Source organism: Homo sapiens, chromosome 12 (assembly GCF_000001405.40).
Source record: "Homo sapiens chromosome 12, GRCh38.p14 Primary Assembly".
Classification (NCBI taxonomy): Eukaryota; Metazoa; Chordata; class Mammalia; order Primates; family Hominidae; genus Homo; species Homo sapiens.
In genome coordinates, this window is record NC_000012.12 from 100073708 (window position 1) to 100090398 (window position 16691).

A 16691-nucleotide genomic window follows, 5' to 3' on the forward strand; every position below is an offset into this window, starting at 1 on the left:
CTATGTTTCATACACAAATCAATAAATATGATTCACCACAAACAGAACTAAAAACAAAAACCATATGATTATCTCAATAGGCAAAGAAAATGCTTTTGATAAAATCCAACGTCCCTTCACAATAAAAACCCTCAACAAACTATGAATCAAAGAAACATACCTCAAAACAGTAAGAGTAATCTATGACAAACTCACAGCTAATATCGTTCTGAAGCGGCAAAAGCTGAAATCATTTCCCTTAAGGAATGGAACAAGACAAGGATGCCCCCTCTCACAACTCCTACTCAAAATAGTACTGGAAGTTCTAGCTAGAGCAATCAGGCAAGAGAAAGAAAGAAAGGGCATCCAAATAGGAAAAGAAGTCAAATTATTTCTCTTCGCTGACAATATGATTCTATACCTAGAAAATGCTAAACTCCACGAAAAGACTCCCATGACTGATAAGCAACTTCAATAAAGTTTCAGGATACAAAATCAATGTAAACAATCAGCAGTATTTTTATATACCAGTAACATTCAAGCTGAAAGCCAAACAACAACAACAACAACAGCAACAACAAATCCTAGGAATACATCTAACCAAAAGATAAAAGATCTCTACAAGAACTGGGCCAGGCATGATGGCTCACACCTGTAATCCCAGCACGGTGAGAGGCTGAGGCGGGCAGATCATTTGAGGCCAGGAGCTCGAGACCAGCGTGGCCAACATGGCGAAACCCCATCTCTACCAAAAATACAAAAATCAGCTGGGCGTGGTGGCACACGCCTGTAATCCCAGTTACTTGGGAGGCTGAGGCATAAAAATCGCTTGAACTCGGGAGACGGAGGTTGTAGTGAGCTAACACCACTGTATTCCAGCCTGGGCAACAGAACAAGACTCTGTTTCAAAAAAAAAAAAAAAAAGTCCACACTGCTGAAAACAATATACAGACTCAATGTCATTCCTATCAAACTACAAACATCATTTTGCACAAAATTAGAAAAAAATTTTAAAATATTTAAAAATTCATATGAAACCCAAAAGCCTGAATAGCCAAAGCAACTCTAAGAAAAAAGAACAAAGCTGGAGACATTACATAACTATACTATAAGGAACCAAAATGGCATGGTACTGATACAAAAACAGAGACATAGATCAATGGAACAGAATAGAGAACCCAGAAATAAAATCGCACACCTATAACTATCTGATCTTTGACAAATTCAACAATCACAAGCAATGGGGAAAGGACACCCTATTCAATGAATGGTGCCTGGATGACTGGCTAGTCATATTTAGAAGAATGAAACTGGACCCCTACACCTTCCTTTTTTTTTTTTTTGAGACGGAGTCTAGCTCTGTCACCCAGGCTGGAGTGCAATGGCATGATCTCAGCTCACTGCAACCTCTGCCTCCCGGGTTCAAGCAATTCTCCTGCCTCAGCCTCCTGAGTAGCTGGGATTACAGGCGCGCACCACCACGCCCAGCTAAGTTTTGTATTTTTAGTAGAGATGGGGTTTCACTATGTTGGCCAGGCTGGTCTCGAACTCCTGACCTCGTGATCCGCCCACCTCGGCCTCTCAAAATGCTGGGATTACAAGTGTGAGCCACCACGCCCGGCTACACCTTCTACTATATACAAAAATTAACTCAAGATGGAACAAATATTTAAATATAAGAAGTCAAACTATAAAAGTCCTAGAAGAAAAGCTAGGAAATACCATTCTGGACATAGGCTTTAGCAAAGAATTTATGGCTAAGACCTCAACGGCAATCACAACAAAAACAAAAATAGACAAGTGAGACCTCATTGGAGAGCTTCTATACAGCAAAATAAACTATCAACAGAGTCAACAGACATCCTACACAATGGGAGAAAATACTCACAAATTATTCATCTGACAAAGGTCTAATATCCAGAATCTATAAGGAACTTGAACAAAAGTCAACAAGCAAAAACCAAACACCATTAAAAAGTGGGCAAAGGACATGAACACACACTTCTCAAAAGAAGACATATGTGCAGCCAACAAGCATATGAAACAATGCTCAATACACTAATCATCATTAATCATCAGAGAAATGTAAATCGAAACCACAGTGAGATACCATCTCAGATACATTAGTTAGAATGGCTATTATTAAAAAGTCAAAATACAGATGCTGGTGAGGCTGCAGTACTGCATGTTCTGACTTACAAGTGGGAGCTAAATGTTGGGTACGCATGGAGACAAAAAAGGGAACAACAGACACTGGAGACCCCAAAAGGAGGATGGGAGGAAGGGGAATAAGGGCTGAAAACCTACCTGTTGGGTACTATGCTGACCACCTGGATGGTGGGATAATCACACCCTGAACCTCAGCATCATGCAATATAAAAATGTAACAAACCTGCACATGTACCCTGAGTTTACAATAAAAGTTGAAATTAAAAAAAAAAAAACTATTAGTTTTAAGGTTCTGGTTACATTTTTTTCACCCCCCAAAACCAGCTAATGTCATCAAAAATGTATATATTAATATTCACAAAGTTCAACCAATAAAGTTTTATCAGTTTCATTTATTTGTTTTAGTTTAGTATACCCAGAGATGTTTTTTTTTCCATTCATCATTCAATAGACGTGTATATGTCTCATATGAAGTAGAATAATTTTTCAATGGTTTACTTACGTTTCCTCTTATATAAACTGCCTCAGCAATCTTTTTTTTTTTTTTTTTTTTTTGAGATAAGAGTCTCACTCTGTCATCCAGGCTGGAGTGCAGTGGCACAATCTCGGCCCACAACAACCTCTGCCTCCTGGACTGAAGCGATTCTCGTGCCTCAGCCTCCCAAGTAGCTGGGACTATAGGCATGCACCATCACTCCCAGCTAATTTTTGTATTTTTACTAGGGAGGGGGTTTTGCTATGTTGGCCAGGCTGGTCTCTAACTCCTGACCTCAAGTGATCCACCCACTTTGGCTTCCCAAATGGCTGGGATTACAGGCGTGAGCCAACGTGCCCAGCCAAATTGCTTAATCAATCATTTTAATTTGTATAGTCTTTATAAATTCAAGTCAGTTCCTTACAGTATCTAATTAAAAAGCTTTTCTCTGCATATATGGAAACAAATTCTTTTCAATTCAAAATGTCAACTTATTTTAACAAATAACGGCTTATTCTTTTTTCCTCTAATAGTTAAAAACCTATTCGAATTGGGACAAACATACTATCTTATGTTCTTCTACTTACTTTTGTTTATTTTGTTTTGTGTTTGGTGTGGTTGCGTATATATATGTGGGGTTTCTTACTGTATTTCACTCACAACCATGTGGGATTATAAGTGATTCCTCTTTCTCATTTCCACATAAATTTATTTAAATCCTAAAATTTAAAGTCTTTTAAAAAGCTGGAGCATATGGTCATGCACCATATAATGACATTTCTGCCAATGACAGGCCACTTATAAGATGTGGATCCCATAAGATTATAACACAGCTTTTATACTGTATTTACTGTATTTTTACTGTATATTTTCTATGTTTGGTAAGGTTTAAATACACAAATACCATTGTGTTATAACTGCTACGGTATTCAATACAGTAACATGATATACAAGATTAAAGCCTAGGAGGAATAGGATATACCATACATATAGCCTAGGAGTTTAAGTAGGCTACATACCATCTAAGTACAGTTAATGATGTTAAGCAACACATGACTGTATATCGAATGTAAAGTAAGTAGTAACTGCATAATGAGAAAATAACTGTTAAATCAGTTTCTAAACATTGGCACTTCTGACGTTTTAAGCTAGATAATTCTTCATTGTGGGGAACTGACCAGCACATTGTAGGATTTAACAGGCGGCATCACTGGTCTTTACTCACTAGAGGTCAGCAGCATCCCTGTCCAGTTGTGACAACCAAAACTATCTTCAGATATTGCCAAATGTCCCCTGGGGGGCAAAATTGGTCCCAGAGGGGAATCACTGAGTTAAATAAAAACTTTTCACATAAAACTAAGTCTCAAAGCCACAGACTTATCAAAATAAACCAGAACAATTTATAAATGATAAATCTAGAAATCTTTTATTTTTTAAGAATAGATCATATATTATCGTGTTGGTCTCAAACATTGCAATTAGACCACGTTAGGTGATTATAAACTGAGTAAGATTGTTAGTATAAATAGGACAGAGTTCTTAGCTATAGAATTATATTCACAGTATAGCCAATACAGTATATATAGTATACTGTAGTTCCGTAAAGCAAAAAAGGCATTTTAGATCCTTCCACAGAGACTACTGTGTAATAAGGAAATTGGTCTCCCTCTGACCCTGCTCCTGGGAAGCAACTAGGAATTGGAATTTCCTATTTATGGTTGGCCCCTGATATAGTTTGGATATTGTCCCCTCTAAATCTCATGTTCAATTGTAATCCCCAGTATTGGAGGTGGAGCCTGATGGGAGGTGTTTGAGTCATGGGGGCAGATACCTCATGGCTTGGTGATGTGCTCACAACAGTGAGTTCTCATAAAGTCTGGTTGATTAAAAGTATGTGGCACCTCCCTGCGCCACTCTCTGTCTTGCTCCTGCTTTTGCCATGTGACGTGCCTGCTCCTGCTTTACCTTCCACCACGTGTAAAAGTTCCCTGAGGCCTCCTCCCCAGAAGCTGAGCAGATGCCCACATCATGCTTCCAATATAGCCTGCAGAACCAAAAGCCAATTAAACTTCTTTTCTTTATAAATTATCCAGTCTCAGGTACTTCTTTACAACAACACAAGAACAGCCTAACACAGCCCCTGACACCACAGCTGATAGTTTATGATAGCAAAACGACGCAGGGTGGAGCTGGCCACACTTGATAGCCTAGTTGCGTTAAGAGGGTGGGGGCTTTGGGTAATCTGATTACCAATTCACCTAGAGATTGAGTAAAACCTCATGACCAATACTTCATGCATATTGTTAAATATCCATCCATCCATATATTTACACATCTATATAGGGTTCCACATCCTTAGAAAGCTAATAAGTCCTGAGGAAAAGTTTCACATTTCAAGTGCTCCAAGACGCTGTTTTATTATTATTACATCAGTGTACTGTGGGGGTGATATGGTTTGGCTGTGTCCCCACCAAAATCTCATCTTGAATTGTAACTCTGACAGTTCCCACGTGTTGTGTGAGGAACCTGGTGGGAGGTGATTGAATTATGGGGGCAAGTCTTTCCTGCACTGTTCTTGTGGTAGTGAATGAGTCTCACAAGATCTGATGGTTTTAAAAATAGGAGTTTCCCTGCACAAGCTCTCTCTTTGCCTGCCACCATCCATGTAAGACATGACTTGCTCCTCCTTGCTTTCTGCTGCCATGGTTGTGACTTCCCCAGTCATGTGGAACTGTACGTCTATTAAACTTTTTTCCTGTATAAATTGCCCAGTCTTGGGTATGTCTTTATCAGCAGTGTGAAAACCGACTAATACAGTAAATTGGTACTAGTAGAGTGGGGCACTGCTGAAAAGATACCTGAATGTGGAAGTGACTTTGGAACTGGGTAACAGGCAGAGGTTGGAACAGTTTGGAGGGGTCAGAAGATGACAGGAAAATTTGGGAAAGTTTGGAATTTCCTGAGACTTGTTGAATGGCTTTGACAAAAATGCTGAAAGTGATATGAACAGTAAGGTCCGGGCTGAGGTGGTCTCAGATGGAGATGAGGAACTTGTTGGGAACTGGAAGAAAGGTGACTCTTGTTATGTTTTAGCAGACGGGCAGCATTTTGCCCCTGCCCTAGAGATCTGTGGAACTCTGAACTTGAGAGATGATTTAGGTTATCTTGTGGAAGAAATTTCTAAGCAGCAATGCATTCAAGGGTGACTTGGGTGTTCTTAAAGGCATTTCATTTTATAAGGCAAGGAGAGTATAAAAGTTCAAAAAATTTGCAGCCTGACAATGCGATAGAAAAGAAAACCCCATTTTCTGAGGAAGAATTCAAGCCAGCTACAGAAATTTGCGTAAGTAAAGAGAAGCCTAATGTTAATCCCCAAGACAATGGGGGAAAATATCTCCCAGGGAATGTCAGAGGTCTTCACGGCAGCCCCTCCCATTATAGGCCCAGAGGCCTAGAAGGAAAAAGTGGTTTCATGGGCCAGGCCCAGGCTCCCTGTGCTATGTGCAGCCTAGGGATTTGGTACCCTGCATCCCAGCTGCTCCAGCCATGGATGAAAGGGGCCAACACAGAGCTTGGGCCATAGCTTCAGAAGGTGCAAGCCCCAACCCTGGCAGCTTCCACATGGTGCTGAGCCTGCTGGTGCACAGAAGTCAAGAACTGGGGATTGGGAGCCTCCGCCTAGATTTCAGTGGATGTATGGAAATGCCTGGATGCCCAGGCAGAATTTTGCAGCAGGGGTGGGGCCCTCATGGAGAACCTCTGCTAGGGCAGTGTGGAAGGGAAATGTGGGGTCAAAGCCCCCACACAAAGTCCCTACTGGGGTACCACCTAGTGGAGCTGTGAGAAGAAGGCCACCGTCCTCCTGACTCCAGAAGGGTAGATCCACTGACACCTTGCACCATGTGCCTGGAAAAGGTGCCAGCAGACACTCAATACCAGTCCATGAAAGCAGCCAAGAGGAAGGCTGTATCCTGCAAAGCCACAGGGGCAGAGCTGCCCAAGACCATGGAACCCATCTCTTTTTTTTTTTTTTTTGTTTTGAGACAGAGTCTTGCTCTGTTGCCCAGGCTGGAGCACAGTGGCGCGATCTCAGCTCACTGTAAGCTCCGCCTCCTGGAAACCCACCTCTTAACATCAGCGTGACATGTATGTGAAACATGGAGTCAAAGGAAATCATTTTGGAACTTTTAAGATTTGACTGTCCTGCTGGATTTCGGATTTGCATGGGGCCTGTAGCCCCTTTGTTTTGGCCAACTTCTCCCATTTGGAATAGCTGTATTTACCCAATGCCTTGTACCCCCACTGTATCTAGGAAATAACTGAATTGCTTTTGATTTTATAGGCTCATAGGCAGAAGGGACTTGTCTTGTCTCAGACAGGACATTGGACTGTGGACTTCTGAGTTAATGGTGAAATGAGTTAAAACTTTGGGGGACAGTTAGGAATGCATGATTGGTTTAGAAATCTGAGGACATAAGATTTGGGAGGGGCCAGGGCAGAATGATATGGTTTGGCTGTGTCCCCACCCAAATTTCACCTTGAATTGTAGCTCTCACAATTCCCACATGTTGTAGGAGGAAGCTGGTGGAAGGTGACTGAATTATGATTGAAGGTGATTGAATTATGGGGGTGGGTCTTTCCTGTGCTGTTCTTGTGGTAGTGAATGAGTCTCATGAGATCTGATGGTTTTAAAAATGGGAGTTTCCCTGCACAAGCTCTCTCTTTGCCTGCTGCCATCCACATAAGATGTGATTTGCTCCTCCTTGCCTTCCGCCATGATTGTGAGGCTTCCCCAGCCATGTGGAACTGTATGTCTAGTAAACCTCTTTCTTTTGTAAATTGCCCAGTCTCGGGTATGTCTTTATCAGAAGCATGAAAATGGACTAATACAGAGGAGGAAAAAAAGACTCTGCCTTATGCATCTCTTCCTATGGCTGGTTGTAATTTGTATAATGTGACTACAATGGATGTGACTTTAATATATTTCAGTGGTTCTGTGAGTCTTTCTAGTGAATTTTGAACCAGAGGGTAGTTTTTGGAAACTCCCAAAGTTGTAGTTGGTGTCTGAAGTCTTTATTTTTGTTCTTCCAACTTTTGCTTTAGTTCAGGGGGTACATGTGCAGGTTTGTTATACTGGTAAACTGCGTGTCACTGGGGTTTGGTGTATAAATAATTTCACAACCCAAGTAGCGGGCATAGTACCCGTTAAGTAGTTTTTCAATCCTCACCCTTCCCCAACCCTCCACCCTCAAGTAAGACCCCATGTCTTCTGTTTCCCTCTTTGTGTCCATGTGCACTCAATGTGTAGCTCCCACTTATAAGTGAGAATATGCAATATTTGGTTTTCTTTTCCTGCATTAATTCACTTGGGATAATGGCCTCCAGCTGCATCCATGTTGCTACAAAGAACATGACTGCATTCTTTTCATGGCTACATAGTACTCTGCGGTGTATATGTACCACAGTTTCTTTATCCACTGCACTGATGGGCATCTAGGTTGATTCCATGACTTTGTTATTGTGAATAGTGCTGCCATGAACATACAAGTGCACGTTATCTTTGGTAGAAAAATTTATATTCCTATGGGTATATACCCAGTAATGGGATTGCTGGGTCAATTGGTAGTTCTTTTTTAAATTCTTTGAGAAAACTCCAAACTGCTTTCCACAGTGGTTGAACTATTTTACATTCCCACCAACAGTGTATAAGCATTCCCTTTTCTCCACAACCTCACCAACATCTATTTTTTTGTGTTTTAATAACAGCCATTCTGAGTGGGGTGAGATGGTATTTCACTGTGGTTTTGATTTGTATTTCTCAGTTGATTAGTGATGTTGAGCACTGTTTCATATGCTTGTTGGCTGCACATATGTCTTCTTTTGAGAAGTGTGTGTTCATGTCCTTTGCCCACTTTTTAATGGTGTTTGGTTTTTGCTTGTCGATTCAATTTCCTTATAGGTTCTGGATATTAAGACCTTTGTCAGATAAATAATTTGTGAATATTTTCTCCCATTCTGTAGGATGTCTGTTGACAGTTTATTTTGCTGTATAGAAGCTCTTTAATGAGGTTTCACTTGCCTATTTTTGTTTTTGTTGCAATTACTTTTGGAGTCTTCCTCATGAGATCTTGGCCGAGGCCAATCTCTAGAATTCTATTTCCTTGGTTGTCTTCCAGGGTTTCTATAGTGTCAGCCTTTACATTTAAGTCTTTCATTTCATCTTGAGTTAATTTTTGTGTGTGGTGAAACAACAGGGTCTAATTTCAATCTTCTGCATATGACCAACCAGTTATCCCAGCAACATTATTAAATAGGAAAGCATTTCCCCACTGCTTGTTATTGTCGACTTTGTCGAAGATCACATGGTTGTAGGTGTGCAGCTTTATTTCTAGGTTCCCTAATCTGTTCCATTGGTCTATGCATCTGTTTTTGTAATGAGAACATGCTGTTTTGTGTCAGAAGCATTTAGGCAAACTTAAGGACTGTGCCTATAAAGTTAGTTTGGTTAACTGAGTAACCATATAATCAAAAATTAATAAACTGATATTTTCTATGCCATCTAATATGGCCATTTCATAAACCTTGTAAAGATTTTTTAAATAAAATGGTAGCATTTGTTATTTAAGTTGCTTAGATGAGATACTAAAGTGTTTATGAGAAAACTTAATTGGAAAAGAAAACATACCTGGTATATATTGAAATCTGCAAGTCTAACCACAACAGAACTAGACATTAGCTTAGCTTTTGATTGTTGAGATAATACTGAAGGTGTTCTGCATGTCCCTTTCAGAGGGTAGTCCTTCTCTGTTGGAAACAAAAACTCCTTTCAATTCATTGCAAAATTATTTTTAACAGTCACTCTTTTATTATTAAGGCAGGTACCAGAAATATATGTGAATACTAACTTCTCAAACAAGATAATATTTGTGGACATACTTTATAAATTATAAAGTAATACAGGATGTAAGTTATTGTGATGATTATTCTTTTAAGAAGAATCACACATGTCACATTTAAGTTAGTCTTCTACAAAAACTCTGGAATGGGACTCTTGTTAAAAATGACATATTTACATAGAAGTAGAAAGTGAAGGGTATGGGGGAGGGAAGGGGAGGGGCAGACAATGGGTGATTAGTGAATACAAAGGTATAGCTAGATAGGAGAAGTAAATTCTAGCATTTATAGGGTGACTATAATTAATAATTTATTTTTTCAAATAGCTAGTAAGAGCAGATTTTGAATGCTCCCAACTTAACTAATAAATGTCTGAGGTGACGAATATGCTAATTACTCTGCTTTTAGTGTTATACGTTTGTATACATGTATCAAAATATCACATTTCAATGCTTACTGGGCCAGCAAAAAAAAAAAAAGTAGTAGTATCACACTGTACCTCATAAATACGTACAATTATTATGTGTTGACTTAAAAAAAAAAGAAACCTTCTAGAAAAATTCTTCCTGGGTGTGACTATTATTGGTTGTATTAATTTTAAAAGTGCTTTGGTCCACAAGCCTATGTTGGTCTGAGCAAAGGATACAGGGGTTTTAGACATTAATTAAAAATACTTGGCTTAGGCCGGGCGTGGTGGCTCACGCCTGTAATCCCAGCACTTTGGGAGGCTGAGGTGGGCAGATCACTTGAGGTCCAGAGTTTGAGACCACCCTGGCCAACACAGTGAAACCCTGGTTCTACTAAAACTCCAAAAATTAGCTGGGTATGGTGGCATGTGCCTGTAATCCCAGATACTCAGGAGGCTGAGGCAGGAGAATCGCTTGAACCCGGGAAGCAGAGGTTGCAGTGAGCCGAGATCACACCACTGCACTTCAGCCTGGGAGACAGAGTGAGACCCTGTCTCAAAGAAAAAAAAAAAATACTTGGCTGGGCATGGTAGCTGACACTTGTAATCCCAGCACTTTGCGGAGGGCCAAGGTGGGAGGACCGCTTGAGGCCAGGAGTTTGAGACTACCCTAGGCAACATAGCAAGACCCCCATCTCTACATTAAAAAGAAGAAAAAAAAATACTCATTTACAGGAAATACTATGATCACACACACACACACACACACACACACACACACACACACACACACACAGAGTGCAAACACTCTTAATATTAGGGGAATGCTATTATAGGTAAAATACCTGTTTGTGTGTGCTGGGGAGAGGCATGTGTTGGGGATTTAGGAGGTGAACCTACATTATGATCCTTCACAGCCTGTTTAAGCATTTCAACGTTGCACTCAAATTCATGCAATAACTCATTGGCCCATCCATTTTTTGTTTTGGTTGCATCACTAAAATACATCCAATGATTACAACTATCTCCTGTAAAATGAACAACAGGTATTTCATTGAAAAATGTACAACTTTCATTTATTATATTATAGTAATGCTTCCAATGAGATTTAGTCGTTTATTCAAGAAAGACTTTGATATCTGAAAAATTTACAGGCTTCACCTACATGTAATTTCGAAATATGAGTAAAACATTTGAAACAGAGGGAAAGAATGTCAAAAGCAAATCATCTGGAGGAGTTTCTATCTAGTACCCATTCTTAGTAGAAAATCACTAAGATTCAATTTAAAGCCATATGACTCGTCACCCTTCACTGGATGCTCAATTACCTGGTAAACCTGCATTAAACTGAATCCCAGAAAATATTATCAAATAAATAGAATCCTTTCTTCAAAGATGTGTTATCAAGTTAACTAACAAAAACCTAAACCACAAAAATGATAAGATGATGATGATTAAAACATTTAAGAAACCAATAAAACTTCTCAAGATGTACTCAGCCATAGTTAGTTTTTGGAAGAAAAATATATAATCAGAATCATTAGGCTTCTCTGTAGCAACTAAGAAAAATGCACATAAAAGGGTTAAGACAATAAAATCAGGCCAGGCGCAGTGGCTCACATCTGTAATCAATCCCAGCACTTTGGGAGGCTGAGGCAGAAGGTCGAGGCTGTAGTGAGCAGTGATCACACCACTGCACTCGTGAGGCCTTGGATCAAAAAAAAAAAAGAAAATTTACTCTATGAATGTTTCACACCTCTTCAAAAATAAATATCTAGTTAAAAATTTTATGCATTTGTAAGTTAATTTATGAGTCAGGACGATAGTATATAAGACAAAATCCTTCAAAAGAGAATTATTATATTGAATGTTGGCAATGAAAATTTAAAATGAAAAAAAAATCATACAACTTTTAAATTTAATCAGGTACCAACATAGAAATGACAAACATTGGTTAAAAAACGTGTAAACAAAAATGTGTGAACAGAAAAACTTTACCATTTTTTAAATGTCCTGGAAAACTCTATGATCTCTAGTTTGGTTTTTCTCACTTGTGTGAATGCTAAATACTAACAGAAGGCAAAAACGGTATAAAGTCAAATTAATTTGGTCACAATAATCATACTTTTTTTTTCTTTTCATTATTTGGGAGAAAGAATCTACCAATACCAGATTGTTAAGAGCCTATGAAATCTGGAATCCTATAATTTAGCTAAACATACTCTTATTCTTAGCTTCATACTCTTTTCATTCCTAGCTTCATACTCTTTTCTAATTTTTAAATATATAAATCATTTAAAAATTTAAAACATTAATAACTTGTTTTGGTCACAACTAACAAAACAGCACAAACACATGTCCTCTGTACCCTGATTTTTTTTTAAGTTTTAAATTGGTTATTTGGAAAACTGTCAATTTCTAAAAATTATGATTTCTAAAAATCTATATAAATGTCAATATACACTGTATGACTATATTCCATGGCAATTCTACTTTCTTAATGAAATACTGCCAGGAGAAAAATACCAATCTCTTCATCTCATTTCTTGTTAACAAATAAAAGCAAGATAAAACTAAACTAAATAAATTAGCTATATAATTTGAAAACAACATTTATATCTTTTAAAGATGCTGTTATACACACCTGCTTTATGATAAGGATAATAATCTATAGTTAGCTGTGTAAAAGAGAGTTGCATTGCCCCTCCAGTAATACGTCTGTTTGACTCTGGGAAAAAAAAAGGGGGGGGGGGAAATATTAAGTCAATTATCAGAAAGATTTAATTTACCACAGAAAAATTTTAGCATACTTGGAGTCCAAATAGTAATAACTGTCTCTCTTTTATGACGGCACATTAAGGATTTTAGGAAATATAATTCAATCCAATGAGTATTTACTGAGCCCCCCTCATTTGTAAGGCACCAGGATAAAAGGTAAGAATATAAGAATAGCAGAATCCCTGCCCTGGTAGAGTTCACAGATGATACTAGCACAACTTTTATATTGACAAGGCCTCCCCATATGTCAGGCATTATTTTAAATACTTTAGGTAAACTTACTCATTTGGTTTTCATAACAACCGCATTTGATAGGTACAATCATTATTATCCCCATCTTCAAGATAAGGAAACTGAGGCACAAAGAGGCCAAGGACATACAGCTAGTTAAGTGCAAAGCTTGGATTTGAACCCAGGAAATCTTGAACACTACACCATATCATCCTACCTCTTACTGAAAAGGAAATTAAGGCTGGGCGCGGTGGCTCACGCCTGTCATCCCAGCACTTTGGGAGGCCGAGGCGGGTGGATCACGAGGTCAGGAGTTCGAGACCAGCCTGGCCAACATAGTGAAACTCCGTCTCTACTAAAAATACAAAGATTAGCTGGGCATGGTGGCACGCCCCTGTAGTCCCAGCTACTTGGGAGGCTGAGGCAGGAGAATCGCTTGAACCTGGGAGGCAGAGGCTGCAGTGAGCCGAGTTTGAGCCACTGCACTCCAGCCTGGGCAACAGAGTGAGACTCCATCTCAAAAAAAAAAAAAAAAAAAAAAGGGAAATTATTAAAAGTCTGTTAGGTTAGGTAAGTTGTCCAAAGTCACACAGCTATAGTAAAATCAAAAGTAGATTACAAATTGGTATAACGTGAACATAAAAATCAAATTTTAAAACAAAATGGGCAAATCAATCAGAAGAAAGAAAAATACTAACTGAGACATAGCTATGTATACACTCCCTATATTAATTTGTAAAATCCAATTTATCTCAACTAGTAGAATTTTCAGCACAGGTCTACAATCCCTTACGTAAAACCTTTGGAAAGCCAAATGTTTCAGAATTCAGAAATGTTTAGATTTCACGACAGTAATATGATACGGTATATACAGGATATACCATGCAACACTCTCAGCAGGTTCTGAGGCAGCACTAATAAAAATAGCAATTCTGCAGCAAAACATAAATATTTATAGGAAGCAGGCAAAGAATAAAAAAAAGTATTGGCATAAGTCAGGTTTTGCCACCAAATGAGTTTTTCACAAACTTATAATATTTCAGAGCCTTTTGGATTTCACAATAGTGATTACAGACCTGTACTATTAAGGAGATATTTTGGTGAAAAGGTTTTCTTCCTAAATAAAATCATTCAATTTATTCTATCAGGGAATAGTGAGGAATGTAAGGCCTTAGAAAACACTTTCTCCATTCTCATTCTTACTACTTAATCTTGACCACCTCATTTTCTTAGTTTGGTTTGTTCTAACTTTTTTGGATTTTCCTTTCAAATCTCTAAAGTAAAAGATGCCAACTATAAGTCAAATGACACAATGGTAGTCAGAACAAAAGATAACAAATCCCTCCACAAACCCCGAATCTTCCTCACCTTTGCCCCTCCAACCTTTTAGGCTGGAATCTTTTAGGCTGCCTTGTCTAATGAAGGCAGGGTAACTTCTACTGCTAAGTATCCAGGGTCTCAATATTCACTTTCTCAGCTTAAAAACACATGGCAAAAATTTTTGTAGATATAGATCCTGATTCAGATCTGAGGCACAGAGATCAGATAACTCTATTGTTTAAAGGTCTTCAGCCTGATTCTAATGCTCACCAAAGTTTGAGAATTATAGTCCTTAAGGTAGGCCTACCTGCTGAACTCAACCCCAACACTTCTGGGCCAGGGATGCTCTCCAGCAGAGAAACAAAAACGCCCAGCGCCTAGATTACAGAACTACATCTACTAAATAAGGAAAAATAACAGGGACAAAAACTAAAAGAAAATTCCTAACTGGAATTTTGCTTCCTAATCAAATTTTGGAAGGATGGGAAGAGAGGTGGCCATAAAATATGTTAAATAGTTGCACAGTTGTGCTTCTATTCAAAATAGGTAGAAAAACTGCAATGCTGAAAACACATCTACAAATAATTATGAATTAAGTATGGACTAAAATTTAATTTGGAGACAATTTCAACATTATCAAAAAGTTAATTCAAAGGCGAGTCTAATATTTCATCATCCTCCTAGAGGATCATCTATTCAGTCTGATTTTTTTAAAGCTAATTTTATTGTTAGCATTGATAGCTAACAAATAATTAAGCTTAAGTACTGCTAAAGCAAAATAAAATTTCATACCAATATATGCTTCCAGTTGTGCCTTTCATCTATATATTCATATGAACACAATTATGACAAATTATCTTACAGGACATCCTACACAACAGATTTAATAAACAATCCAGTTTTGTAGTCAATTCTAGAAAAACCAAAATAGTTTGAAATAAGCAAGTTATTTTACCTTTTTCTTTAGCATGAATGTCATCACATATGTGTAGATCTAGATGAGAAATCACTAAATGATGGGAGGTTTCCTTAACATCAAAATCATTGAATAGTTTCACAATTGCATCATTTACATCAGGAGCATTTGAAGTTTGCGTTGTCTTCACTTGCTGGGCAGATGCGACTACTGTAGAGCTCTAAAAAGATTCGAAACTGCCTTATCACTGCCAATTTAAATACTGGAAATTTCACACAAAAATCTAAGTATTTTCAGTCGAAAGTCATGAAAAATAACCATAGTACATCTTATTTTTCATCAATAATATATTTTCCCTAAAATATTTTCTGAATTACCTAAGAATAAAACTAAAATTTAAAAACGGTAAAACTAGGCTCATGCCTGTAATCACAACACTTTGGGAGGCCGAGGCAGGCGAATCATCTGAGGTCAGGAGTTCAAGACCAGCCTCGCTAACATGCTGAAACCCCATTTCTACTAAAAATATAAAAAATTAGCTGGGCGTGGTGCCGCATGCCTGTAATCCCAGCTACTTGGGAGGCTGAGGCAGGAGAATCACTTGAACCCGGGAGACAGAGGCTGCAGTGAGCTGAGACCGTGCCACTGCACTCCAGCCTGGGTAACAGAGCGAGACTCCATCTCAAAAAAACAAAAACAAAAACAAAAAAACAAACAAAAAAACTGTAAAACTATACACAAATCAAATATGAACCCAATATATCTCAGTAAATATCTGAAGTTATATTTAACATATTTATAGCCCTTGTTTTAGAAAATGTAGTTAACTCTTAAAGGCAGTTTATTTGAATATTATATATATTAAAAACAAAACAAATGTGGGCCCTGTATACACTGTTATATATCTGATATGGTTTGGCCCTGTGTCCCCACCCAAATCTCATCTTGAATGGTAGTCCCACAATTCCCACGTGTTGTGGGAGAGACCTGGTGGGAGATAATTCAATCATGGGGGTGGCTTCCCCCATACTGTTCTGGTGGTAGTAAATAAGTCTCACGAGATCTGATGGTTTATCAGGGGTTTCTGCTTTTGCAGCTTCCTCATTGTTTCTTTGACTGCTGCCATCCATGTAAAATGGGACTTGATCCTCCTTGCCTTTCACCACGATTACGAGGCTTCCCCAGCCACATGGAACTGTAAGTAGATTGCCCTGTCTCGGGTATGTCTTTATCAGCAGCGTGAAAAGGGACTAATATGATATCCTATAGAAATAAAGCACATCTTTGTAGAAGCCCCTGTGATATTATTTAGTACTCTAAGTGCTCTGGTGCCTCTCCTAAAAGATGTGGTATGTCCTTTGAACTTGAATAACTAAAGAAGCCAGAAAGGAGACAGGATTTATAAATAGGTTGTGAGTTCAAATATTTTTCTCCCTGAAGAGAAATAGTATAGAACCCTGTTGATATATAAAAATAAATATGAACCTCTAATAGCCTAAAATTATTTTGTATACATAACTATA

General features: G+C 38.3%; 1 protein-coding gene across 8 annotated transcripts in view; it reads right to left on the reverse strand.

The window, feature by feature from the left end:
• BLTP3B (bridge-like lipid transfer protein family member 3B) overlaps positions 1-16691 on the reverse strand; it is a 105803-nt gene that overhangs the window by 36636 nt on the left and 52476 nt on the right. For 5 of the 8 annotated variants that reach the window (XR_007063059.1, NM_015054.2, XM_047428554.1 and 2 more), the window contains 4 exons: positions 15208-15388; positions 12568-12651; positions 10769-10951; positions 9309-9427 (listed from right to left, as the gene is read on the reverse strand). Coding sequence is in view for 6 of the 8 variants with exons in the window: in NM_015054.2 (NP_055869.1) it covers positions 9309-9427; positions 10769-10951; positions 12568-12651; positions 15208-15388 (567 nt within the window). In the remaining 2 variants the exon portion in view is untranslated. Of the gene's footprint in view, positions 1-4454; positions 4569-9308; positions 9428-10768; positions 10952-12567; positions 12652-15207; positions 15389-16691 lie in introns of those variants that run through there. The other 3 variants (XM_005268739.5, XM_047428555.1, XM_011538054.4) reach the window with 3 other exon arrangements.